We start from the raw sequence: 25,700 nt of genomic DNA, 5'->3' as shown, positions 1-25,700 counted from the left end.
AAAAATTAGCTGGGCATGGTGGCGCACACCTGTAGTCCCAGCTACTCAGGAGACTGAGGCAGAAGAATCACTTGAACCAGGGAGGAGGAGGTTGCACTGAGCCGAGATTGCGCCACTGCACTGCAGCCTGGCGACAGGGCAAGACTCTGTTCTCAAAAAAAAAAAGAAAAAAAAAGAAAACGGTACCGTTGAGTATGAGCTTGAAGGAGGTCAGGGTTTGGAAAGTAGAAAGAAGAGGGAGCGTGTATGGTGGAGGGTGGGGTGGAGAGGTGGTATCCCAGGTACACAGTGTTAGTGAGCCATGGGAAACTGGTCCTCGCAGGGAACTTCTGCCCTGGAAACCCCTCAGTATCTGACATTCCCTGGCCCCCTGGGGGACCTACAGGTTGCCTTAGAACCCAGAATGAGCCCCCAAGAAGCCTTGCCACAGACTCGGCAATGGGCCCCAAACCATAGAGTGGGCTCTGCCTCATGGGTACAGCCACTATGATGAAGTGTTGCTTGGGGAACTGGGGCACGATGATGACAGTGCCTGAGAGCTCTTGTGAGCCCCCCCAGAGCTGCAGGAGAAGGGTCTGGGACAGTCCTGGCAAGCTCAGGCAGAGCTTACAGGTGCCTTGTAGCCGCTGGTTTAGGAAGAAACTTCTTTCCACAAGCCAGTGCTTAGGCCAGGTCCTTGTCAGTTGCACTGGATTCATACTGGGAGGCGGTGACTCCCACGGTGTTCCCCACTTTCCTTAGCACACTGGAGAAGTAACTCATTCAGGAGAACAGAGGGTCATTTGTGTCATGTTCCTCCCCTGCTCAAGAGCCTTCTGTGGATCCCCAGTACCCATCAGATCACAGTTTTCCTCGACCTGATATCCAGAGCCCTCCGTCATCTGATCAGCCGTTTCAGAGTCTAAAAATGGGAAGAGACCTAGAAGTCATCTAATGTAATCTGAACCTGTCCATCTTTTTCACAATAACCCAGAGAGGTTGCCTCTCTTCTGCATGTGTGTTTCTAATAATGAGGAGTTCTCTTTCATGAGACAGCTTTAAGTTCATCCAGAAACTGCCTCTCTGGACTTCTGCCCATTGGTCTAGGTTCAAGCCTCTGGAGTTTTTCCTGCTTCCAGATGGTCACGCTTCAGAATACTGATATTTCTCTAAATTTTCTTCAGATCTTAAGTCCATTTCAATCCAGGTCACTCTTTTTTGGAAATGGTCCAGCTTGTTAGTTTCCTTCATAATGTATAAAGCCTGAAACTGAATAGTGTTTCACGCATGGCCTTATCTGTGTAGAGAACTGGAACCATACGTTCCCTCCTTTTAATGCATCCAGAGAGATCAGACTTGCATGTTCATCAACCGTATCAAAATCTTGCTATTATTAAGTTAGCAGCCAAATAAAACACCTTAATTCTTTTTTTTGTTTTCTTTTGAGACGGAGTTTCTCTCTGTCACCCAGGCTGGAGTGCAGTGGCGTGATCTCGGCTCACAGCGTTCTCCGCCTCCCGGGTTTAAGCAATTTTCTGCCTCAGCCTTCCGAGCAGCTGGGATTACAGGTGCCCACCACCACGCCCGGCTAATTTTTTGTGTGTTTTTAGTAGAGACGAGGTTTCACCATCTTGGCCAGGCCGAACTTGAACTCCTGACCTCGTGATCCACCTACCTCAGCCTCCCAAAGTGCTAGGATTACAGGCGTGAGCCATGTGCCCAGCCAAAACACCTTCATTCTTTTCACAAGTGCTGCTTTGAGTCACGGCTCCCTTGTGCCAGTGAGTTTAGGCCTAAGTATAGAAAATTTCCTTTGTACCTACTGGATTTCATCTTGTGAATTTTAATGCATTTTTCCAGTCTGTGGATTCTGATCGTGTCTCTGTGGTGTAGAGGGCCTTGTCTAGTGCCGAGGTTGTGATCCTGAGCCTGAGCTTGGTCACACTGCAAAGACTGAATCCCCGCCCTACACTTGCTGATGTTACGGGCCTGGGCAGTTTACTTAGCAGTTCTTTTTTTATTTTTATTTATTTATTTTAGAGATAGGGTGTCACTCTGGTCCCCAGGCTGGAGTGCAGTGGCGTGATCATGGCTCACAGCAGCTTCAAACTCCTGGGCTCAAGTGATCCTCCTGTGATCCTCCTATCTCAGCCTCCCAAGTACCTGGGACTACAGGCACGGCCACCGCACTTGACAAATTTTTTTTTTTTTTTTTTTTTTTAGGCTGGGCATGGTGGCTCATGTCTGTAATCCCAGCACTTTGAGAGGCCAAGATGGGCGGATCACCTGAGGTCAGGAATTCAAGACCAGCCTGACCAACATGGTGAAATCCCATCTCTACTAAAAATACAAAAATTAGCCGGGCTTGGTGGTGTGCACCTGCAATCCCAGCTACTGGGAAGCTGAGACAGGAGAATCGCTTGAACCCAGAAGGCAGAGGTTGCAGTGAGCTGAGATCACACCACTGCACTCCAGCCTGGGCAACAGAGCAAGACTCTGTCTCAAAAAAAAAAAAAACAAAACAAAAAACAACTCTTTTTTTTTTGTAGAGATGGTGCCTTACTGTGTTGCTCAGGCTGTTCTGAAACTCCTGGCCTCAAGTAATCCTCCCACCTAAGCCTCCCAAAGTACTGGGATTACAGGTGTGCACCACCACACCTGGCTATTTAAAAAAAAATTTTTTTTTAGAGATGGGGTCTCGCTCTATTGCCCAGGCTGGTCTCAAACTCCTGTTCTCAAGCAATCCTCCAGCCTCAACCTCCCAAAGTGCTGGGATTACAGACATGAGCCACCCCACCCAGGTTTACTTAGCCTTTCTAAGCCTAAGAGATCTCAGGTACCTTGGTTTCTTCATCTGCAGAATGGAGCTGATTAATACTATTAAGTGTCTACTGGTAGGTTGTAGAGTTGTAAGACTTTATATAAGATAATTCATACAAAGGGGCCTGGTCTAAGCACTCATTAGTGCCATCAGCTTGATAATTATCACCACCGTTACCGCTAGTTCACTTCCTCATTCTTTTAAAAATGGCTATTTCTTACCCAAGAGCCGCCTGGCCTCATTGTTCATTGTTCCTTCGGGTCCTTTTCTTACAGTGTCTCCCCAGCTTGTGGCCCTTGCTGCTATCCTCCCCTCATCTAGGTCCAGAGCCTCTGCATCATCTTTTTTTTTTTTGAGACGGAGTCTCACTCTGTCGCCCAGGCAGGAGTACAATGGCGGGATCTCGGCTCACTGCAACCTGCACCTCCCGTGTTCAAGCAATTCTGCCTCAGCCTCCCAAGTAGCTGGGATTATAGGCATGAGCCACCACACTCAGCTAATTTTTGTATTTTAGTAGAGATGGGGTTTCACCATGTTGGCTAGGCTGGTCTTGAACTCCTGGTCTCAGGTGATCTGCCCCCCTCGGCCTCCTAAAGTCTCTGCATCATCTTGGAGGCACCATGGATGCATCCTTCTGCTGTCTCCCTGTAACCCGGAGCTCCTATCTGCCAGTCCTACTGAAGCTCGTTTTACAGCTCACATTATATTGGGTCATTTCCATTCTCACATCTTTCATTTTGATTCCATTTTTCCTGTACTTTTATGCTATTAAATAGCTTCTGGCTGGGCATGGTGTCTCACACCTATAAGCCCAGCACTTTAGGAGGTTGAAGCAATAGGATTGCTTGAGGCCAGGAGTTCAAGACCAGCCTGGGCAACATAATGAGACCCCGTCTCTATTTAAAAAAACCAACTAGCCAGGCATAGTGGTATGTGCCTGTGGTCCCAGCTACTCAGGAAGCTGAGGTGGGAGGATTGCCTGAACCCAGGAGGTTGAGGCTATAGTAAGCTATGATTGCACCACTGCACTCCAGCCTGGGTGACAGAGCAAGACCCTGTCTCCAAAAAATAATAATAATTGATTAAATAAAAATACAGCCAGGCGCGGTAGCTCACGCCTCTAATCCCAACACTGGGAGGCCAAGGCAGGGGGATCACCTCAGGACAGGAGTTTGAGAACAGCCTGGCCAACATGGCAAAACCCTGTCTCTACTAAAAATACAAAAATTAGCCAGGCGTGGTAATGTGCAACTATTATAATCCCAGCTACTTCGGAGGCTGAGACAGGAGAATCACTCGAACCCAGGAGGTGGAGGTTGCAGTGAGCCAAGATTGCGCCATTGCACTTCAGCCTGGGCGACAGGGCAAGACTCCGTCTCAAAACAACAACAACAACAAAAATAGCTTCCTCCCTGAATTCTCACCTCCAGGCTCCATCCAGCTCTACCCCAGCTGCCGCCACTGCTGGCCCATTCCCCTCCACCTGCTGTCATCTCTTCTTGCCACTCAGAAGCCCACTGGCCTCCCACACGCAGCCTCACCTGCCTCCTGGCTTCTCCTCCATCCCCCCCGGCCCTCAGGCTGCATGCTCCATGCCCTTCCACTTTGGTGCCTTTACTTGTGGCACTTCCTCTGCCCAGAAGGCCTGTCATCTGTGTCCAGAACCCCAGACCCAGTCCCCTGCAGGCCCGAACCCCTCCACAGTACAGAGCGGGTGCTGGTTCAGGGCTTGGAACCAAAGAGCATGACCTTGGGTGAGTTTCTCCACCTTTCTGAACAACAGCCCTCCAGACCCCAGAGTTCCTATGAGGCATATATGACAGAAGTGGGTAATGGCTGGGACAGTAGCTGGGCCGAGTTATCCCTCCTTTCCCTTTAAGAAGTCTTCCTTGAGCAGTGTCTCAGTTTAAAAGGTTTCTCTCTCCTTTCAACACTACAGCACAGAACTTTCCTGATTCTCAGCTATACACACACACTCAGTGGATCCATAGTCACAAACTCACGGTATATTATTTTACGTGGCTTATGGGAATTTTAAAGATTTTAAAAATTTGTTACTATAAGATTTTTGCGTGTGTGTGTGAGCAAGGTTCATAATGACCACAAGTTTGAGCAATTGGTCAAGCAGTAGGAACAGTTATTTTTAGGGTAAATCTAAATCTCACCCATCATGGGTCCTCCCTAGAGGCCCTGAAGCAGTTTCTACCATTTTTCTTCCCTCCCTCCCTCCCTTCCTTCCTTCCTTCCTTCTTCCTTCTTTTCTAAGACAAGGTCTTGCTCTGTCATTCAGACGAGCATAGTGATGCAATCTCAGCTCACTGCAGCCTCCAATGCCTGGATCGCTCAAGTAATCCTCCCACCTCAGTCTCCAGAGTAGCTGGGAATACAGGCGCATGCCACCATACCCAGCTAATATTTTGTAGGGATGAGGTCTCACTATGTTGCCCAGGCTGGTCTTGAACTCCTGTCCTGAAGTGATCTTCCCACCTGAGTCTCCTAAGGTACTGGGATTACAGGCATGAGCCACCACATCCAGCCCCATTTCTAGCATTTCCAACTACCTGGTGTGGTCCTCTTCCTCACGGCCCATATTCCTTACAGGCCTTCCCAAACCCCCTGGAACTTAACCATGTCCAGGTCAGCATCTTACAGATTTGGGTTTCTTGTCCTTCTATGTGTTTATATGCCTTGTAAGTCCTTTCTGACTGCAGACAACCTTGATGGGCTCCGGAAGTATGGAGACTTTGCCCAGGGGTCTGTCTGCAGCCAGAATTTTGCCATTGTCATGGTGCCCCAGCCTATGTCATGGTGCCCCTGGCCTATGGTGCCAGGGGAAGAACATAGTTTAAACGGCTGTAATGCACTTGAGGAAATGTACAGGGAAGACAGTGCTTGGGACAGTTCTGTCACTGAGGACTAAGGTCCAGGGAAGGACGTGCTAAGAGGAAGCTGTAAGCACTGCGTCTCCATAGGAGAGAAGTACTGCTTCATGGAGAGGTTTAGGGGAATGAACTTTTCACTTCTTACTTGCATCTTTTTTTTTTTCCTTTTTTTTGAGACAGGGTTTTTGCTCTGTTGCCCAGGCTGGAATGCAGTGGGGGCGATCACGGCTCACTGCAACCTCTGCCTGCTGGGCTTAAGCGATCCTCCCACCTCAACCTCCCTAGTAGCTGGGACTACAGTTGTGCACCACCACACCTGGCTAATTTTTGTATTTTTTGTAGAGACAGGGTTTCACCATGTTGTCCGGGCTGATCTCAAAATCCTGGCCTTAAGCGATCCTCCCACCTCAGCTTCCCAAAGTGCTGGCCAGAGATTCCTTCCTGACTGCTCTTACGCTCACCCTGCAGAGCCAACGACTGTGCTCAGGAGAGCCCCAAATCATGTGCTGTAGGGGAAGCATCGCATGTCATTCTTGTCCTCCCAGAGGACCCCATCTGATGGGGAAAGGACCCTGTAATTAGTTTCCTGGGGCTGTCAACAAATTCCCACTAATTGGGTGGCTGCATTCTCTCACCGTCTTGCAAGGTAGGGCAATACTGTCTCTGAAAGCTCTAGGAAAGGCTCCATTTTTTTTTTTTTTTTTGAGAGTCTCGCTCTGTCACCCAGGCTGGAGTGCAGTGGCGTGATTACTGCTTACTGCACTCTCAACCTCCTGGGCTTAAGCAATCCACCTGCCTCAACCTCCCTAATAGCTAGGACTACAGGCACACACCACCACACCCAGCTAATTTTTGTATTTTTTAGTAGAGACACGGTTTCGCTGTGTTGGCCAGGCTGGTCTTGAACTCCTGACCTCAGGTGATCCTCCCGCCTCTGCCTCTCAAAGTGCTGGGATGACAGGTGTGAGTCACTGCGCCCGGCCGGGAAGGATTCTTTCTAGCTTCTCGTGGCCGCTGGCTGTCCTTGGCATTCCTTGGCTTGTAGACTCATCACTCATCTCTGTCTCATTTCATGCAGCATCCTCCCTGTGTGTCTCTGGATCCCTACATCTTCTTCGAGGATCACCAGTCATATTACATTCCATAATATGACCCTACTCCAGTGTGACCTCATCTTAACTAATTACATCTGCAAATGCCCTATTTGTAAATAAGATCATATTCATAGGTACGGGGTGGGGGGGGTTGGGCGTGATTATATATTTTTGTGGGGCGGGGGTATACAATTCAACTTACAACAGAGGTTATACTGTTTAAAAATCAAGTCTGGTCAGGAGAAGAAAATATATAAGGAGATATGAATTTAAGAACATATTCATTAGCTGGGCGTGGTGGCAGGCGCCTGTAGTCCCAGCTACTCGGGAGGCTGAGGTGAGAGAATCGCTTGAACTCAGGAGGCAGAGGTTGCAGTGAGCCGAGGTCACGCCACTGCACTCCAGCCTGGTGACAGAGCGAGACTCCGTCTCAAAAAAAAAAAAAAAAAAAAAAAAAAAGAGCATATCTGAGAATTTAGAAAAACAGCAGCTGGATGTGGCAGTGTGCAGCTATAGTCCCAGCTACTTGAGAGGCTGAGGTAGGAGGATCACTGGAATCCAAGTGTTCAAGTCCCGCCAGCCTGGGCAACATAGCAAGACAGCGAAACCCTATCTCTTTTGAAAAAAAAAAAAAAAAAAAAAAAAAAAAAGCTGGCCAGGTGCTGTGGCTCACGCCTGTAATCCCAGCACTTTGTGAGGCCGAGGCGGGTGGATCACTTGAGGTCAGGAGTTCGAGACCAGGATGGTCAACATAGCGAAACCCTGTCTCTACTAAAAATATAAAAATTAGCCAGGCATGGTGGCATGCGCCTGTAGTCCCAGCTACTTGGGAGGCTGAGGCAGGAGAATCGCTTGAACCCAGGAGGCGGAGTTTGCAGTGAGCTGAGATCATGCCACTGCACTCCAGCCTGGGCAACAGAGTGAGACTCTGTCTAAACAGAAAAAAAAAAAAAAAGTTTTTATTTCCAAAGGATAGATTCCTAGGAGTGAGATTACTGGGTCAAAGTTTTTTTTTTTAACCTTTCATTATAGAAAAGTTCAAACGTATACAAATATGAAGACTAGTCCAAGAAGCCCTGGTATAGCCCCAGCATCAACAAGGAACTTGTGGCCAAACATATATCCTATGGACAAGGGGTCAGCATTTTCTGCAAAGAGCCAGTTAGTAAATATTTTAGGCTTTGCAGGCCGCATGGTCTCCATCGCAACCATTCAACTCTGCCTTTGTAATGCAGAAGCAGCCTCAGCTGATATTAAATGAATACGTAAATGCATGAGAGTGGGTGAATTCTAATAAGATTTCTTTTCTTTCTTTCTTTCTTTTTCTTTTTTTTTTTGTTGTTGTTGTTGAGAGTTTTGTTGTCGCTGAGAGCTCTCTCAGCCAGGCTGGAGTGCAATTGTGGAATCTCGGCTCACTGCAACCTCTGCCTCCCAGGTTCAAGCAATTCTCCTGCCTCAGCCTCCCGAGTAGCAAGTAGCTGGGATTACAGGCGCCCGTCACCACGCCCAGCTAATTTTTGTATTTTTAGTAGAGATGGGGTTTCACCATGTTGGCCAGGCTGGTCTCAAACTCCTGACCTCAGGTGATCCACCCACCTTGGCCTCCCAAAGTGCTGGGATTACAGGCATGAGCCACTGTGCCCGGCCATAAGCTTTATTTTCAAAACCAGGTGTTAGTCTGGTCTGGTTGTGGCTTGTAACTGTAGTTTGCTGATCCGTGGGTCTATACCATCAACCACCAGACTTTTTATTCTCCAGATTATTTGAAGTAAATCTTAGACATTGTATCATCTTGCCAGTAAATATTTCAGAATGAACCTGTTTAAAAAAAAAACAAACTCTTTAAAAATTAACCACAACATATTTATCACACCTAAAAGTTTAAAGGTAATTCCTGGCTGGGGACAGTGGCTCATGCCTGTAATCCCAGTGTTTTGGGAGGCTGAGGTGGGAGGATCACTTGAAGCCAGGAGTTTGAGACCAGCCTGGGCAACATAGTGAGACCCCGTCTCTACCAAAAATGAAAATAACTGAGCATGGTGTCATTCGCCAGTAATCCCAGCTACTCAGGAGGCTGAGGCAGGAGAATCGCTAGAGCCCAGGAGTTGGAGGCTGTGGTGAGCCATGATTGTGCCACTGCACATCAGCTTAGGGGACAGAAAAAGACCCTGTCTCAGGACGAAAAATAATAATAATAATAATAAAAACTAGAGTTTTTTCAGCCCCTTTGCAGAATTTTCCGGGAGATACATTCAAGAAAACCAAGATGTAGAGAAGTCTATATATGACAATCTAATTTTTGTAGAACAATGGCAAAATTAACCTCTTCAGTATGTAGGTATTTATGTGTATGTGTGGGTGTATGTATGTGATACATAACAGGTTTTTAACATGGGTTATAGGGATAGAATGACATCAAAACAGAAAAAGGAGAAAATCTGTACCTAAGAAAACAGCCTACATGATATAATCCCTTTTCTGTGTTTGTGCAAATGGTACTCCTATGTATATGCACTTTGCAAAATTAAAAAGAGTTATGATTTGGCCGGGCACAGTGGCTCACGCCTGTAATCTCAGCACTTTGGGAGGCAGAGGTGGGAGGATCATTTGAGGTCAGAAGTTCGAGACCAGCCTGGCCAACATGGCGAAACCCCGTCTGTACTAAAAATACAAAAATTAGTTGGGCATGGTAGTGCACACCTGTAATCCCAGCTACTCGGGAGGCTGAGGCAGGAGAATTGCTTTAACACAGGAGGCAGGGGTTGCAGTGAGCCACGATCACACCACTGCACTCTAGCCTGGGCGACAGAGTAAGACTCCGCTCAAAAGAGAAAAAAACAAGGCCTGTAATCCCAGAACTTTGGGGTTCGCAAATCACCTGAGGTCAGGATCTCGAGACCAGCCTGGCCAACCAACATGGTGAAACCACGTCTCTACTAAAAATACAAAAATTAGCCGGGTTTGATGGCGGGTGCCTGTAGGCCCAGCTACTCGGGAGGCTGAGGCGGGAGAATCGCTTGAACCCGGGAGGCAGAGGTTGCAGTGAGCCAAGATCGGGCCACTGCACTCCAGCCTGGGTGACAGAGCGAGACTCCTCAAAAAAAAAAAAAAAAAAGTTAACGATTTTAAAAACGATTGAGAGGGAATGTTTAATGTCCCTTGATGTCATTAAGGAAGTACAAGGGAATTTGCTTAGAAGTTGGAAAATGCCCAAGAGTGTGGGAAAACAAAGACTTAGTGACCACCGCCGGTGCTGGCCAGCCGGAGAAGGCTCTGTGGAAGGTTTGGAGGGGAGAGAGGGGCAGCTGGATGCTCTTGGGCCACGGTCGCTCCCTGATCTCTGCGCCTCTTCCTCCTGCTCCGGGAGAAATAATGTTTCCCTGGGGGATGAAAAGCATCTCTTTGTGCGGGCTTTAATTGCCATGTTGTTGTGCCAAGGGAGTGAGTGGCAGGCGGGAGCAGCAGCTGGGCACAGCCAATGCCAGGCAGTGGTGCCCACTCCCTCAGGACGGCCCAGCCAGCTGGCTCCTGGGAGCGCTGCCCACCTCTGCCCCCAGCTGGGCGCCTGCAGAGGAACCGACCACCCGTGGGGCTGGGGGAGGTTGGCTGGAGGAGGAGAAAGGGGCGGGCATCTGGGAGGGTCTCAGCCACTCTCAGAGGCTTATTCATCTCATCCTCCTTTCCCTCCCCCCTTCTTGTTTTTCAGACTGTCAGCATCAATAAGGCCATTAATACGCAGGAAGTGGCTGTAAAGGAAAAACACGCCAGAAATATCCTTTTGGATGTTGCTTGGAAGACCGACCCTGAGGGAGGTCAGCTCATGGGGACTGAGGTCAGGGCCAGGCTGCCTTGCTCAGCTCCAGGAAGGGGCAACCCTGCACAGGCCAGGTCCCTGCAGCTTCTGATGACGGCAGCTTCTCAGAGAGGGCTGGCTGCAGAGACCACAGACCTTCAGGGTGGCAGACACCAAAAAGGCTGTGGAGCCCAGGCCTTTCAACTTGCCAAAGATCCTGCTCCTTTCCTTAAGGACTTAAGCACTCCTTTTTTTCTTTTTCCAAAAGGGGTCTTGCCGTGTTGCCCAGGCTGGAGTGCAATGGCGTGATCATAGCTCACTGCAGCCTCAAACTCCTGGGTTCACGCAATCCTCTCGTCTCAGCCTCCCGAGTAGCTGGGACTACAGGTGTGCACCACTATGCCTGGCTAATTTATTTTATGATTTTTAGAGATGGGGTATTGCTCATTGCCCAAGCTGGCCTCAAGCAATCCTCCCTCCTCTGTAACCCCAAAGTGCTGGAATTACAGGGGAGAGCCACTGCACCTGGCCGACTCAAGCTTTGTAGAACCTCATAGTCACTTGAAAGTTACTTTCCTTTGAGAGACCTCCTGGGGGTCAGGAGGGATCTTCACCTATATTCAAAGCCCTCCAGGTCCTTTCTTTGCCTTTACAGGAACACAGGGACCACTCCCCTGGGGGTTGCATAATCAATAGTTATCTCCTTTTCTGAGCATGAAAGCAAAAAAAAAAGAAAAAGAGAGTTTTTTTTTTTTTTCTTTTTTGAGACAGAGTCCCACTCTGTTGCCCAGGCTGGAGGGCAGTGGCATGTTCTCGGCTCACTGTAACCTCTGCCTCCTGGATTCAAGCGATTCTTGTGCCTCAGCTTCCCAAGTAGCTGGGATGACAGGCGTGTGCCACCACACCCGGCTAATTTTTGTAATTTTAGTAGGACCGGGGTTTTGCCATGTTGGCCAGGCTGGCCTTGAACGCCTGGCCTCAGCCTCCTAAAGTGCTGAGATCACAGGCATGAGCCACCATGCCTGGCCGAAAAAAAGAAAGTCTTAGCTTCAGAGGTTGGTTGGCCTTAAACTGAGGCAGGGGCTCTCTACCTTCGTGAACAGGTTCAACCTATGCCAGGGGGAAGAAGACAAGAGCCTTGAAGTGGATTAGGGAATGGGTGACTTGAAAGCCCTCTGTAAGCCCACCACACCCAGGAGCAGCCTGTGGCTTTGTAGAGAGGTGCAGGACCATGCTGGCTGATGAATCCCTAGGAATCTGCCTTTGAGTTGCAGAATCCAGGAACTGGAGCGCTTAATCCCCAAAGGCTGAAGGAGAGAGTCTGCCAGGGGGGTGGCTAAGCTTTTAACTCTCTGTGTGCTGGGCCAGAGCAAGGTGGAGTTCCGGGCAAGCAGAGTTGGGACTTTTTTTTTTTTTTTTTTGAGACAGAGTCTTGCTCTGTCGCCTAGGCTGGAGTGCAGTGGCATGATCTCAGCTCACCGCAACCTCCGCCTTCCAGGCTCAAGAGATCCACCTGCCTCAACCTCCCAAGTAGCTGGGACCACAGGTGTGTATCACTACCCCTAGCTAATTTTTGTATTTTTAGTAGAGACGGGGTTTTGCCATGTTGCTCAGGCTGGTTTCAAACTCCTGAGCTCAAGCAATCCTCCTGCCTTGGCCTCCCAAAGTGCTGGAATTACAGGCATGAGCCACCGCGCCCAACTTCGGAGGCCGCACCCAGCCTCAGAGGCTGGACTTCTGTCTGCAGTGGGAAGCTTCTCCTCACCTGGGCTCTTGGTTACTGTGTCACAGCCAGGCAAGCCAGAGCAGCTTGTCCCGAAGCCTTCTAGCCTCAACCCCTAGAGGCGACCCTCCAGGTTAGATAGCCAGAGAAGCCCAGCATTGCTTAGTGTGATATATGAACTGCTGTTTGCTAGAGGGAAAGCAGCTTGCCTTTAGTGGGAAGATGCTTTGGCTGGAATTAGGATGGCGGCTGCAGAACCTCTCTGGGGTAACCCAGAAGTCCAGCCCTGTGCGAGCCTAGCTAGATCTTGCTCTTTTTTTCCCCAGAAAGACACAGGCCCCTTGGTTTCCTGCATCACGTTTGGTACCCTTGCGATGATTCAAAGCAAACCAAGAAAAGCCTTTATTTTAAACGGCCCAGTGGATTTTCTCAGAGGAAATGACTCAGCCCTGACCCTTACCTACGAATAATTTGTGATCAATCTGATAAAAGATATGAGTAAGGGAGAGACAGTTATCATCAGGCAGTGTGCTGTTCAGGACAAGACATGGGTGCAGAGAGGCCAGGCCTGCAGCGGCAGGGTCAGGTCACATGCTGCCGGGAGGCTCCCTGGGAGGAGGGAAGGGGCCCTGCAAGGAGATTCTGACATTCTGCCACTGGAACTCTCGGGCTCACTCTGGGACCTTGAGTGGGGCCTCCATGAGTCTTAGGTCACTTTCTGTTCAATCAAAGGTTGGACAAAGAAGATTTCAGGCCAGGTGTGGTGGCTCATGCCTATAATCCCAGCACTTTGGAAGGTGGAGGCGGATGGATGACCTGAGGTCAGGAGTTCGAGACCAGCCTGGCCAACATGGTAAAACCCCGTCCTACTGAAAAAACAAAAATTAGCCAGGTGTGGTGGCAGGTACCTGTAATCCCAGCTACTTGGGAGGCTGTGGCAGGAGAATCACTTGAACCTGGGAGGCAGAGGTTGCAGTGAGCCGAGATCGTACCACTGTACTCCAGCCTGGGCAACAAGAGCAAAACTCTGTTTCAAAAAGAAAAAGATTTCAAAGATTTAACAGTCCAGCCCTAACATTCTATGAGTCTCTGATTCATAATTTCTAAATGGTGAATAAATGTTGAAAAATCAACTCCATACAGTAGGGTTTGAAATGCCTAATTAAAGATATCCCAAAGCTTTTTTTTTTTTTTTTTTTTTTGAGGCAGGGTCATGCACTGTCACCCAGGCTGGAGTGCAGTGACACAATCAGTTGGAGGCTCACTGCAGCCTCCAACTTTTAGGCTCAAGTGATCCTCCCACCTCAGCCTCCTGAGTAGCTGGGACTATAGGCACATGCCATCATGCCTGGCTAATTTTTTATAGAGATGGGGTCTCACTGTGGCCCAGGCTGGTCTTGAACTCCTAGCTAGGCTCAAGCAGTCCTCCCGCTGGGCCTCCCAAAGTGCTGCAATTACAGGCGTGAGCCACCATGCCCAGCGCATTTATCTATTATCAGGTCTTTTATCAGCTGCCTTAGATACAAACTGAATAAGCATTAGGAAGTCTGACTTCAGAAATGCTGCTTACACATTTATCACAGATGCCTAAATGGTGAACAGGTTGGCCCGCCACCTTGGTATTCACTCCTGGAGGGCTGGGGACTGAGTCTTATTTTTCTTATTTTCTTTTTTTTCTCCCTGAATGGATTTTACAGGCTTTGACACATACTTGGGGCATAAAAATGCTTATATGTGAAAGAATGCCAGAAAGGCATTATTTCTGAATTATTTCAGAAATCGCTCCTACACCAAGGCCAGGCACAGTGGCTCACACCTGTAATCCCAGAACTTTGGGAGGCCAAGGTGGGTGGATCTCTTGAGGCCAGGAGTTCGAGACCAGCCTGAGCATCATGGTGAAACCCCGTCTCTACTAAAAAAAACAAAAATTAGCCGGGCATGGTGGCGGGTGCCTGTGATCCCAGCTACTTGGGAGGCTGAGGCACGAGAATCACTTGAACCTGGGAGGTGGAGGTTGCAGTGAGCCAAGATTGTGCCACTGCACTCCAGCCTGGGCAACAGAGCGAGACCCTGTCTAAAAAAAAAATAGAAAGAAAGAACGAACGAGAGAGAGAGGGAGGGAAGGAAGGAAGGGAGAGAGAGAAAGAAAGAAAGGAAGGAAGGAAGGAAGGAAGGAAGGAAGGAAGAAAGAAAGAAAGAAAGAAAGAAAGAAAGAAAGAAAGAAAGAAAGAAAGAAAGAAAGAAAGAAAGGACTCCTACACCAAAAGCTGATTTTAGCTTCCAGACCCAAACATCTGTTTAAGCCCACCCCTCTCTAAATGAAGATGTCATCGAGGAAAGGAGCTTTATGGTATCTTCCAGTTCAGAAGCAAAATAACATGTGCTCTGGGTGAGTCATTTAGTTTCCTACCTGAGATGAGTCCTTCTGCCCTAAATGACAGTGCACTTGCGACCTAGCCTTGCTGAGTAAAGCCTAAAGTTCCGGGCACAGAGTTGTCCTAACAACTGACAGTGCCCAGTTACTGGGTCTGTGAATCTTGTTGAAGCACACAATTACAAAAGTGGAAATTCTCTCCTCACTCCAAAAAGAGCTCACTAATGACAGAGATCTGGAATAGCCGAACTTAAAATCATGTGAGGCCAGAGGGACATTTGTTTATTTTTGAGATGGAGTCTCGCTCTGTCGCCCAGGCTGGAGTGCAGTGGTGCAATCTTGGCTCACTGCAACCTCCATCTCCCAGGTTCAAGTGATTCTCCTGCCTCAGCCTCCCGAGTAGGTGGGATTACAGGCATGCACCACCATGCCCGGCTAATTTTTGTACTTTTAGTAGAGACGGGGTTTCACCATGTTGGCCAGGCTGGTCTTGATCTCCTGACCTCGTGATCTGCCCACCTCGGCCTCCCAGAGTCCTGTGATTACAGCCGTGAGCCACCACGCCCAACCCTGATGGACATTTATTACATGCAAACTGACAACTATCTGCAGAGGGTGGGTGTGTTTGGAATCAGGCCTGGGGAGAAGTGGTTCCAGGATCCCATATATGGGGAATTCAAGGTGTGGAGAGATTGAAGGTGACCCTGAACAGGGCCAGGCAGGTTTATGGAAGAAGTCGGGTGTTCAGGTTTATGGAAAGGGCTTTTGTTGTTGCTGTTGTTGTTGAGGCAGAGTTTTGCTCGTTGCCCAGGCTGGAGTGCAATGGCATGATCTCGGCTCACTGCAATCTCTGCCTCCCGGGTTCAAGCAATTCTCCTGCCTCAGCCTCCTGAGTAGCTGGGATTACAGGCATGCGCCACCACACTGGGCTAATTTTGTATTTTTAGTAGAGACGGGGTTTCACCACATTGGTCAGGCTGATCTCAAACTCTGACCTCAGGTGATCCGCCCGCCTCAGCCTCCCAAAGTGCTGGGATTGGAGGTGTGAGCCACCGCGCTCCACCCTGATGGACATTTATTACATGCAAACTGACGACTATCTGCAGGGAGTGGGTGTGTTTGGAATTAGGCCTGGGGAGAAGCGGTTCCAGGATTCCATATATGGGGAATTTAAGGTGTGGAGAGATTGAAGGTGCCCCTGAACAGGGCCAGGTGGGTTTACGGAAGAAGTGGGGTGTTGAGGTTTACAGAAAGGGCATTTTAAACAAAGATTGCTGCTGTCAAGGCAAGCAAAAGGCTGGCTAAATGGAAAGGGGCTGGGAGATGCTGCCTGGAGGAGGAGCCAAGGGGTCAAGGTGCAGGACTCCCTGCAGGGACCAAGGTCCTTGATGAGGAGCAGAAGCACACTCTCACTTTTTTTTTTTTTTTTTTTTTGAGATGGAGTCTTGCTCTGTCACCCAGGCTGGAGTGCAGTGGCGTGATCCTGGCTCACTGCAACCTCCACCTCCCGGATTCAAGCAATTCTCTTGCCTCAGCCTCCTGAGAAGCTGGGATTACAGGCGCCCACCGCCACGCCCAGCTAATTTTGTATTTTTAGTAGAGATGGAGTTTCGCCGTGTTGGTCAGGCTGATCTTAAACTCCTGAGCTCAGGTGATCCACCCACCTTGGCCCCCCAAAGTGCTGGGATTATAGGCGTGAGTCTCTGCACCTGGCTTGCACACCCTTACTTTTAATAATGCATAAGAAAGAACCTGAGGAAGCCCTCAAATGTTGTTTAAAAGTTAGGTGTCATAAGGCCAGACACAGTGGTTCATGCCTGTAACCCCAGCACTTTGCGAGGCCAAGAGGGGAGGACCACTTGAGGCCAGGAGCTTGAGACCAGCCTGGGCAACATAGCAAGATCTCATCTCTACCAAAAATTTAAAAATTAGCCAGGCACAGTGGTGCATGCCTATAGCCCCAGCTACTTGGGAGGCTGAGGTAGGAGGATTGCCTGAGCCCAGGAGTTTGAGGTTACAGTGAGCTATGATCACACCACTGCACTCCAGTCTGGGTGACAGAGTAAGACCCTATCTTAACCACCACAACAAATAGCTGTAGTTATTCCCGAAGGACACATCATCAACTCAGCATTCTCGTAGAAAGGACAACCCAATACCACCGTGGCCTACAGGGTATTTGTGCAAATTAGAAAAAGACACACCTCTCTCTCAAGACGCTTACATCTCGGGAAATTGTCTACTCAAGTGGATTTTATTAAAATAAGTATTCCCATCTGCCCTAAAACTCCCAGAAGGAATGTACAGTTCTGTGGTGTCTTAGCTCTGAGCGGCGCTCCCTCCAAGGCACTGCCAACCACGACTTGCACTACTGCTCGGTCCCCTGCAGTGGCTGTGTGCAGGCTTGGTCCCCTGCAGTGGCTGGGTGCAGCCTCTATCCCCTGTGATGGCTGGGTGCAGGCTCAGTCCCCTGCAGTGGCTGGGTGCAGGCTCAGTCCCCTGCAGTGACTGGCAGAGCCCATCCGTTGTTTTCCATAACCCCCCCTCACCGTGCATACTGGGCACCCACCATGAGAAAGGGGCACAGACCTTCTGGTCTGTTGTCAACCGCCTGCCTCTGTCTAGCAACGCAGTGCTCTGCTGGAAGTTCTGCCATGTGTTCCACAAACTCCTCCGAGATGGACACCCGAACGTGAGTTCCTGGGGCTATGGGGTGGCAGGGAGCCAGGGATCCTTGTGGGGAAAGTGACTGCCTGGGCCACAGAGGCTGCTGTCCTCTCCCACACTGCCCCCTTCTCCTGGCCTTTGGGTTCCCCATTAGAGTTGGGTGAGTCTCCCTCCCATCAGCCTGTCCCCCTGCCCTAGGTTCACCTCCGCCTCTCTCCATCCTCCTTCCCTTTGTCTTTCTTTCCTTCTCCATTCTCTCACAGGCTGTTCTTTTGCCCCTGCAGGTCCTGAAGGACTCTCTGAGATACAGAAATGAATTGAGTGACATGAGCAGGATGTGGGTGAGTTTGGAGATGTACTCAGGAGCCACCTGCTTCTCCTTTCCTTCCTCAGAGGCCACAGAGCAAGGACTGGAGGGTGAAATAAATTCATCTCCTTCAGCTTGTTGAGGATTTCTCCCATGGGTGCCAGAGACGGACTAAGGATGCCCCCAAAGAGTACCATGATATCCATAGTCTTGCCTGGGGTCTCTGGACGCTTCAGGAAAGTTCCAGGGCCTGGGAGCTTCTCCTGCCAATGAAAACTCATAAACTCATGTCACAAAGCTGCCCAAGGTTGGGATCCCTCAGCAGTAGCTACATGGCCATGTTTCCTGCTTTTTTTTTTTTTTTTTTGGTAGAGACGGGGTCTTGCTATGCTGCCCAGGCTGGTCTTGAACTCCTGGCCTCAAGTGATCCTCCCACCTCAGCCTCCCAAAGTGCTGGGATCACACACATGAGCCACTGTGCCCAGCCCACAGTTCCTACTTCTCTTCTCCTTCCACTGGTCCCGTTGGAGTCATAGTGCATTGAGAATTAGAATTAGCATACCCAATTCTTAATGCCAGAGCTTTTTCTTTCCTGTTTAGAGATTATCAGTGCTTTAGGATGAGGGGGGAGGTAGGTGGCAATATCACAGTCAATGGAAAAGAGCATTTCTGTACACACACCACAATCACCCCAGATTCTGATGTCCGTGGGTGTGTATATGGAGAGGGGTAATCTGCATTTTGAAGAATCTCTCTTGGCCAGGCGCAGTGGCTCACGCCTGTAATCCTAGCACTTTAGGAGGCCGAGGCAAGCAGATCACCTGAGGCCAGGAGTTTGAGACTAACCTGGCCAACATGGTGAAACCCGGGCTCTATTAAAAATACAAAAATTAGCTGGGTGTGGTGGCGTGTGCCTGTAATCCCAGCTACTCGGGAGGCTGAGGCAGGAGAATCGCTTGAACCTAGGAGGCGAAGGTTGTGGTGAGCCAAGATTGGGCCACTGCACTCCAGCCTGGGTGACAGAGTGAGACTCTGTCTCAAAAAAAAAAAAAAAATCTCCCTGGTTGATTCTGATATGTTCTTTTGCCTCTACCAGTTGAGAACTACTACTTTAGCCTTTTTGCACAGTCTTACCTGTATCTGTCTGCACCTATAAAATGTTGGCAACTATGTAGTCCTATCTACCTATCATAGGTGAGGAAACACAGGCCCAGAAAGGGAAGCAGCTTGTCCTAAAGTCACAAAATTAGGTACCAGAACAAAGTTGAGAGTTGTCCCCAGATTTCCCAACTGTGTGCTAGAAAACGTTCCCTGTAACATGTAAAGTTTAGGTCTTTTTCCTTTTTGTTAGAATTTGCCTGGTATATATTTCTCCATCTTTTTACTTTAAGCATTCCTATATTTTTATGTTTTAGAAATAACACTTATAAATAACATTTGGTTGGATTTTGTGTGGTTTGTGGTTGTTGTTTTTTTATCCAGGATGGTAGTCTTTGTCTTTTAACTGGGCATTTAGTCTATTTACATTTATTATGCTACGTGGTATGTTTAGATTTATGTCTCCCATTTTATTCTATGTTTTCTATTTGTCCCATCTGTTCTACTTCTATTTCTCTCATTCCTTGCCTTCTTTTGGATTGGCTGGGTGTTTTTTTCTCATTCTGTTTTTTCCTCATTACTATTTGGGAGGTTAAAAAATAAATCTACTTTTTTTGTTTTTGGCATGTTCTCTAATAATTACAAAATGCTTGCTTGTTTTATCTAGGTCTACCTTTCGTATCTTTGTTTCCTGTATAACACAAAGACTTTAGAATATTTTAGTTCCATTCAGTCCCTCAATTTATCTGTTAGCATAACCATGTATTTTGGTTTTGGTTATGTTTATCTTTAAATTCTGTAAGTTATTGTTTTATTTTCCTTGTTTTATTCTGTGCTCTCCATAGACCTTTCATCTGAGATCACTTTCTTTCTGCCTGAATTATTTCCTTTCTAACTTCCATAATTGAGAGCCTACTGGTGGCTGACACTGTGTTTGCTTGTTTAAGAATGTCGTTTTTGGCCAGGCGCAGTGGCTCATGCCTGTAATCCCAGCACTTTGGGAGGCCGAGGCGGGCGGATCACGAGGTCAGGAGATTGAGACCATCCTGGCTAACACGGTGAAACCCCCGTCTCTACTAAAAAAATACAGAAAATTAGCCGGGCGTGGTGGTGGGTGCCTGTAGTCCCAGCTACTCAGGAGGCTGAGGCAGGAGAAAGGCGTGAACCCGGGAGGCGGAGTTCACAGTGAGCCGAGATCGCACCACTGCACTCCAGCCTAGGTGACAGAGAGAGACTTCGTCTCAAAAAAAAACAAAAAAAACCCAAAAAAAAAGTCTTTTTTTTTTTTTTTTTTTTTTTTTTTTTTTTGGAGACAGAGTCTTGCTCTGTTGCCTGGGCCAGAGTACACTGGCATAATCTCAGCTCACTGCACCCTTCGCCACCCAGGTTGAAGCGATTCTCCTGCCTCAGCCTCCCGAGTAGCTAGAATTACAGTGCCTACCACCACACCCAGCTAATTTTTATATTTTAGTGGAGACACGGTTTTGCCATGTTGGCCAGGCTGGTCTCGAACTCCTGACCTCAAGTGATCTTCCCTCCTCGGCCTCCCAAAGTGTTGGGATTACAGGCATCAGCCATCGCGCCCAGCCCCTTTTCAGATTTTGGCTAGACCTGTGTCAGACTTTCTCATCCTACCCCTCATGTCTCTAAACCACTCTTTCAGTTTTTTCTACCTATTTGTCTTTGCTGTATTCTGGATAATTTTTATCAACTCTAGCCTTCAGTTTGCCTCCTCTCCAGTTGGGTCTAATGTGTTATTAAGCTTCTCCATAAGGTTTTCAATTTCATTTAGTACAGTTTTCTTTTCTTTTCTTCTTCTTCTTCTTCTTTTTTTTTTTTTTAAGACAGAGTTTTGCTCTTGTTGCCCAGGCTGGAGGGCAATGGCACGATCTCTGCTCACTGCAACCTCCACCTCCCAGGTTCAAGTGATTCTCCTGTCTCAGCCTCCCAAGTAGCTGGGATTACAGGCATGTGCCACCACGCCCAGCTAATTTTGTATGTTTAATAGAGATGGGGTTTCACCATGTTGGCTAGGCTGGTTTCGAACTCCTAACCTCAGGTGATCCAATGCCTCAGCCTCTCAAATTGCTAGGATTACAGGCATGAGCCACCACACCTGGCCCAATTAGTACAGTTTTCATTTCTTGAAGTTCTATTTATTTATTTTTTTTCAAATCTGCTTGTTTTTTGCGGGGGAAGGTGGTTGTTGTTGCTGTTTGAGACAGGGTCTCACTCTGTCACCCAGGCTGGAGTGCAGTGGCGCGATCATGGCTTATTGCAGCCTCAACCTCCTGAGCTCAGGTGATTCTTCCACCTCAGCCTTCCAAGTAGCTGGGAAAACAGGTGTGCACCACCAAACCCAGCTAATTTTTGTAGACGCAGGTTTTCGCCATGTTGCCAAGGGTGGTCTCGAACTCCTGGGCTTAAGCGATCTGCCACCTCAGCCTCCCAAAGCACTGGGATTACAGGCAGGAGGAGCCACTGTGTCTGGCCCTGCTTCTCCTCCTTTACAATTTATTATGCCCTGCATATATTTTGAAACAGTCTCTTATTTCTTTAGATATATGAACCAAAGTCATCTCATATATGTTTTGTAATTCTATTATCTAAAGTCTTTAGAGATTTGTTTCTGTCCTCCGTCCCTTTTGGTGCATTTTGCCCATGCTGTGTAGTTTTCTTTATGTTCGGTTACTTTCTACCCTAAGCTGCTCATCTTCCTTGGAATTTTATCTGTGGAGAATTCTTTGAAGTCTGTAATGAAGGCAGGTTCCTCCAGAGAGAATTGGCATTTGCTTCGATTGAGATCACTCGAAATTAAATTCTCAGCTTAAGGTTTTGTGAGTTTAGGGCAGATTTTCCTTCCCCAATCACAGCGGTGATTTGAGGCGGTAGAATTCTTCATAGTCCTTAGGGAGGACTTCCTCAGTGCAGGAGTACAAGCGTTTGTTACTTTATTATTTATCTTTACTTCCCCTATACCAAGGAGGCAGTCTTTTGTGTGTGTGTTGGTGGTGGTGGTGGTGTTTTGAGACAGTTTCTTGCTCTGTCACCAAGGCTGGAGGAATGGTGACATGATCACAGCTCACTGCAGCCTCAACTTCCTGGGCTCAAGTGATCCTCCCACTTCAGCCTCCTGAATAGCTGAGACCACAGGTGCACACCACCATGCCCAGCTAATTTTTTAATTTTTTGTAGAGATGGGGTTTCGCCATGTTGGCCAGGCTGGTCTCAAATTCCTGAGCTCAAGCAATCCTCCCTCCTCGGCCTCCCAAAGTGCTGGGATTACAGGCATGAGCCACTGCACCTGGCCAGACTCAACATTCTTAAGTAGGAAGCTTTGTCCAGAATTTATCAAAGGCAGTCCTTATGTTTGTACAAAAGATTGTGCTATAAGGAATGTTCATTGAAATGGTTTATGATAGCAAAAATTTCAACTGGTTTGAATTGGCTTCAGCTCATTTGAATTTATTGAGTCAGTTCAATAAATTACAATAATACTGGTCAGTCACTAAAAATAATGAAAGAAAGTTTAAGAAGTTGAATAAAATTGCAGCATATTAAGCAAGAAAAATAGATTGATTCTATTTTACATTTAAGAATAAAGGTAGATGGCTGGGTGCGGTGGCTCACGCCTGTAATCCCAGCACTTTGGGAGGCAGAGGCGGGCAGATCACCTGAGATCAGAAGTTCGAGACTAGTCTGGCCAATATGGTGAAACCCCATCTCTACTAAAAGCTACAAAAATTAGCTGGGCGTGGTGGCTCACACCTGTAGTGTAATCCTAGCCTTTTGGGAGGCCAAAGCAGGTGGATCACTCAAGGCCAGGAGTTTGAGACCAGCCTGGGTAACATGGTGAAACCATATCTCTAGCAAAAATACAAAAATTGACCAGGCGTGGTGGTGCGTGCCTGTAATCCCAGCTACTCGGGAGGCTGAGGCAGGAGAATCACTTGAACCCAGGAGGTGGAGGCTGCAGTGAGCCGAGATCATGCCACTGCACTCCAGCCTGGGCAACAGAGCTAGACCCCATCTCTAAATAAATAAAATAAAGGGGAGAAAACAAAGAAGATAGATTCTTTACCAGAGAATTCCTGGCTGCAGATCTCTTGACTGTTATGTTCTTGTTGTTGACTCTGTTTCCCCTCCTCTTCCTAAAAGGGCCACCTGAGCGAGGGGTATGGCCAGCTGTGCAGCATCTACCTGAAACTGCTAAGAACCAAGATGGAGTACCACACCAAAGTGAGTCTCTGCGGACAGTTCTGCCGCCACCGCCGCCTCCCCTGCTCCATCCCTTCAGCCCCTCCCTGGGCTCATTTGTCAGCTCTTTCAGGTAATAGACAGCCCAGGCTTCTGAGGAAGTGTGCACATCATGTACCCAAGCTGTGAGAGAGGAAAGCCACCGCCAGGCCCACGGGGTGTGACGAAGGCTGGGATTTTGGCCCGTGTCTTCTGCACCCTTTGTTCCCCATTTTGCAGCTAGAAAGAAACCTGGCCAGGCACGGTGGCTCACACCTATAATCCTAGCTCTTTCGGAGGCCCAGGCGGATGGATCACCCGAGGTCAGGGGTTCAAGACTGGCCTGGACAACATGGCAAAACCCCGTCTCTACTAAAATTACAAAAATTACCCATGGTGGTGATGCATGCCTGTAGTCCCAGCTACTCGGGAGGCTGAGGCAGGAGAATCGCTTGAACCTGAGACCAGGAGGCAGAGGTTGCAGTGAGCCAAAACCATGCCACTGCACTCCAGCCTGGGAGACAAAATGAGACTCTGTCTCAAAAAAAAAAACAAAAAAAAGAAAGAGTAACCCTAGGCACTATATTGCCTTATGAAAATGTTACAGAAGCATTGATTTTACTGTTAATAAAAACAATTCCTGGCTGGGCACAGTGGCTCATGCCTGTAATCTGAGCATTATGGGAGGTCGAGGCTGGAGGATCGCTTAAGACCAGGAGTTTGAGACCAGCCTGGGCCATAGCAAGATCCTGTCTCTACAAAAAAATTTAAAAATTAGCCGGGCGTGGTAGTGTGCAACTGTAGTCCCAGCTACTCGGGAGGCTGAGGTGGGAGGATACCTTGAGCCTGGGAAGTCAAGGATGCAGTGAGCTATGATCGCATCACTGCCCTCCCGCCTGGGCAACAGAGTGAGGCCCTGTTTCACAGAAAAAAGAGAGAAGAAGGTGACACAATGGATAGTGTGAGGTGGGGGAGGCGAGCAGCTGCGGGGTGTACAGGGGTCTGGCAACTGTGGGAGACAACGGGGATCAGGCAGAGGGGTGGGCACATAGGAGGCAACGTAAACCAGAACTGAGGCTGGGCCAGGCCAGGGTGTCAGAGGCTGAGGCGGGGAGTCGGGCTGCCCTTGGGCTGGATTGCAAGGCGAAGAAGCAGGAGGGAGAGGCTGAGAGTGTGGAGGGGAGGGGGCTTGTAGCGTGTGATTGGAGGGAGGACCGGGCTCTGGTAAAGGTGTCATGAGGAGGCGGGGAAAGGTGAGAACTGGATTTAAGATGTTTTGGGGTTGGGCGCAGTGGCTCACGCCTGTCATCCCAGCATTTCAGGAGGCCAAGGCGGGCGGATCGTCTGAGGTCTGGAGTTCAAGACCAGCCTGGCCAACATGGCAAAACTCCGTCTCTACTAAAAATACAAAAAGAAATTAGCTCACGTCTGTAGTCCCAGCTACTCGGGAGGCTGAGGCAGGAGAATCGCTTGAACCTGGGAGGCGGAGGTTGCAGCGAGCCGAGATGCTGCCTCTGCACTCCAGACTGGGCGACAGAGCAAGACTCAATCTCAAAAAAAAAAAAAAAAAGACGTTTTGGGAGTAGAGATTGAAAGTGTTAAATTGAGCTGGATGTGGTGGCTCACACCTCTAATCTCCACACAATGGAAGGCCAAGGCAGGAGGATCACTTGAGGCCAGGAGTTGGAGACCAGCCTGACCAACATAGTGAAACCCCCATCTCTACTAAAAACACAAAAATTAGCTGGGCGTGGTGACACGCACCTGTAATCCCAGCTACTCAGGAGGCTGAGGCTTGAGAATGGCTTGAACCCAGGAGGCGGAGGTTGCAGTGAGCCGAGATGGCGCCACTGCACTCCAGCCTGGGTGACAGAGCAAGACTCTGTCTCAAAAAAAAAAAAAAAAGTGTTAAATGGAAAGTGGGAGGAGGAAGGGCCTAGGGTAGGATTTTAGGTGGAAAAGGAAAGAAAGGAGGGTGTAGAGAAAGCAAGACTGGGAAGAAGGTTAAGGAGGAAGAGGACTGGGATGGGAGCTGGGGCAGTGGGGCTGCGGGGCTGATAGAGGCCAAAGGGGTCCCTTTGCCTTGTATATAGGAAGACAGCAGAGTTCAGTGGCATCAGAAGCAGCTGGTGCCAATAGCCAGTCCCCTAGCTTTTAATAGCATGGAAGGGCAGAAGGGAATGGTCACGTGGGCTTGGAGAACTGGGGTCGAAGAGGATGCAGCTGGCTTTGCTTCCAGAGGCTCTCGAGCTCACTGCTGTCTTGTTTTTCCTGGTTTTAGAAAGCAGAGAAAAAGGGGAAGCTGGTATTGTCCAAGTGTGGAGGAGCAAAGGACTTTTCCAGTTTTTAGCAATTAGCGATACAAGAGTGGGGAAGGAGGCTGGGCAGAGTGGCTCACACCTGCAATCCCAGCATTTGGGGAGGCCAAGGCTTGAGGTGAGACCAGCCTGGGCAACACAGTGAGACCCTGTCTCTTAAAAAAAATTTTTTTTGGCCAGGCGCGGTGGCTCACGCTTGTAATCCCAGCACTCTGGGAGGCCGAGGCGGGTGGATCACCTGAGGTCAGGAGTTCAAGACCAGCCTGGGCAACATGGTGAAACCCCATCTCCACTAAAAATACAAAAAAATTAGCCGGGCATGGTGGTGCGTGCCTGTTAATCCCAGCTACTCAGGAGGCTGAGGCAGGAGAATCGCTTGAACCCAAGGGGCTGAGGTTGCAGTGAGCT

At 48.7% G+C, this 25,700-nt stretch overlaps 1 protein-coding gene across 8 annotated transcripts in view, besides 4 other annotated features; it reads left to right on the top strand.

Moving 5' to 3' along the window:
* Positions 1-25,700, top strand: part of HIP1 (huntingtin interacting protein 1) — a 205,644-nt gene that overhangs the window by 129,212 nt on the left and 50,732 nt on the right. For all 8 annotated transcript variants that reach the window (NM_001243198.3, XM_011516116.3, NM_005338.7 and 5 more), the window contains exons 2-5: positions 10,483-10,546; positions 17,216-17,358; positions 17,618-17,674; positions 22,897-22,977. In NM_001243198.3, the coding sequence (NP_001230127.1) occupies positions 10,483-10,546; positions 17,216-17,358; positions 17,618-17,674; positions 22,897-22,977 (345 nt within the window). The remainder of the gene's footprint in view (positions 1-10,482; positions 10,547-17,215; positions 17,359-17,617; positions 17,675-22,896; positions 22,978-25,700) is intronic.
* Positions 1,172-1,372: a silencer, noted in NCBI's record as "peak6604 fragment used in MPRA reporter construct". NCBI's record gives its function as "represses an SCP1 promoter by STARR-seq MPRAs in K562 erythroleukemia cells {active_cell/tissue: K562}" and the evidence as "EXISTENCE:reporter gene assay evidence [ECO:0000049][PMID:32103011]".
* Positions 5,856-6,806: an enhancer, noted in NCBI's record as "H3K27ac-H3K4me1 hESC enhancer chr7:75232242-75233192 (GRCh37/hg19 assembly coordinates)". NCBI's record gives its function as "activates a minimal SCP1, AML or CMV promoter by ChIP-STARR-seq in naive H9 embryonic stem cells {active_cell/tissue: H9 hESC(naive)}" and the evidence as "EXISTENCE:reporter gene assay evidence [ECO:0000049][PMID:30033119]".
* Positions 12,798-12,937: an enhancer, noted in NCBI's record as "active region_26179". NCBI's record gives its function as "activates an Ori minimal core promoter by ATAC-STARR-seq in GM12878 lymphoblastoid cells {active_cell/tissue: GM12878}" and the evidence as "EXISTENCE:reporter gene assay evidence [ECO:0000049][PMID:35858748]".
* Positions 13,852-14,799: an enhancer, noted in NCBI's record as "H3K27ac-H3K4me1 hESC enhancer chr7:75224249-75225196 (GRCh37/hg19 assembly coordinates)". NCBI's record gives its function as "activates a minimal SCP1, AML or CMV promoter by ChIP-STARR-seq in naive H9 embryonic stem cells {active_cell/tissue: H9 hESC(naive)}" and the evidence as "EXISTENCE:reporter gene assay evidence [ECO:0000049][PMID:30033119]".

The sequence above is a fragment of the Homo sapiens genome, chromosome 7 (genome assembly GCF_000001405.40).
Source record: "Homo sapiens chromosome 7, GRCh38.p14 Primary Assembly".
In the NCBI taxonomy this organism is placed as follows: domain Eukaryota; kingdom Metazoa; phylum Chordata; class Mammalia; order Primates; family Hominidae; genus Homo; species Homo sapiens.
The sequence above is the reverse complement of the archived record's forward strand: the minus strand, read 5'-3'. Positions and strand labels throughout refer to the sequence as shown.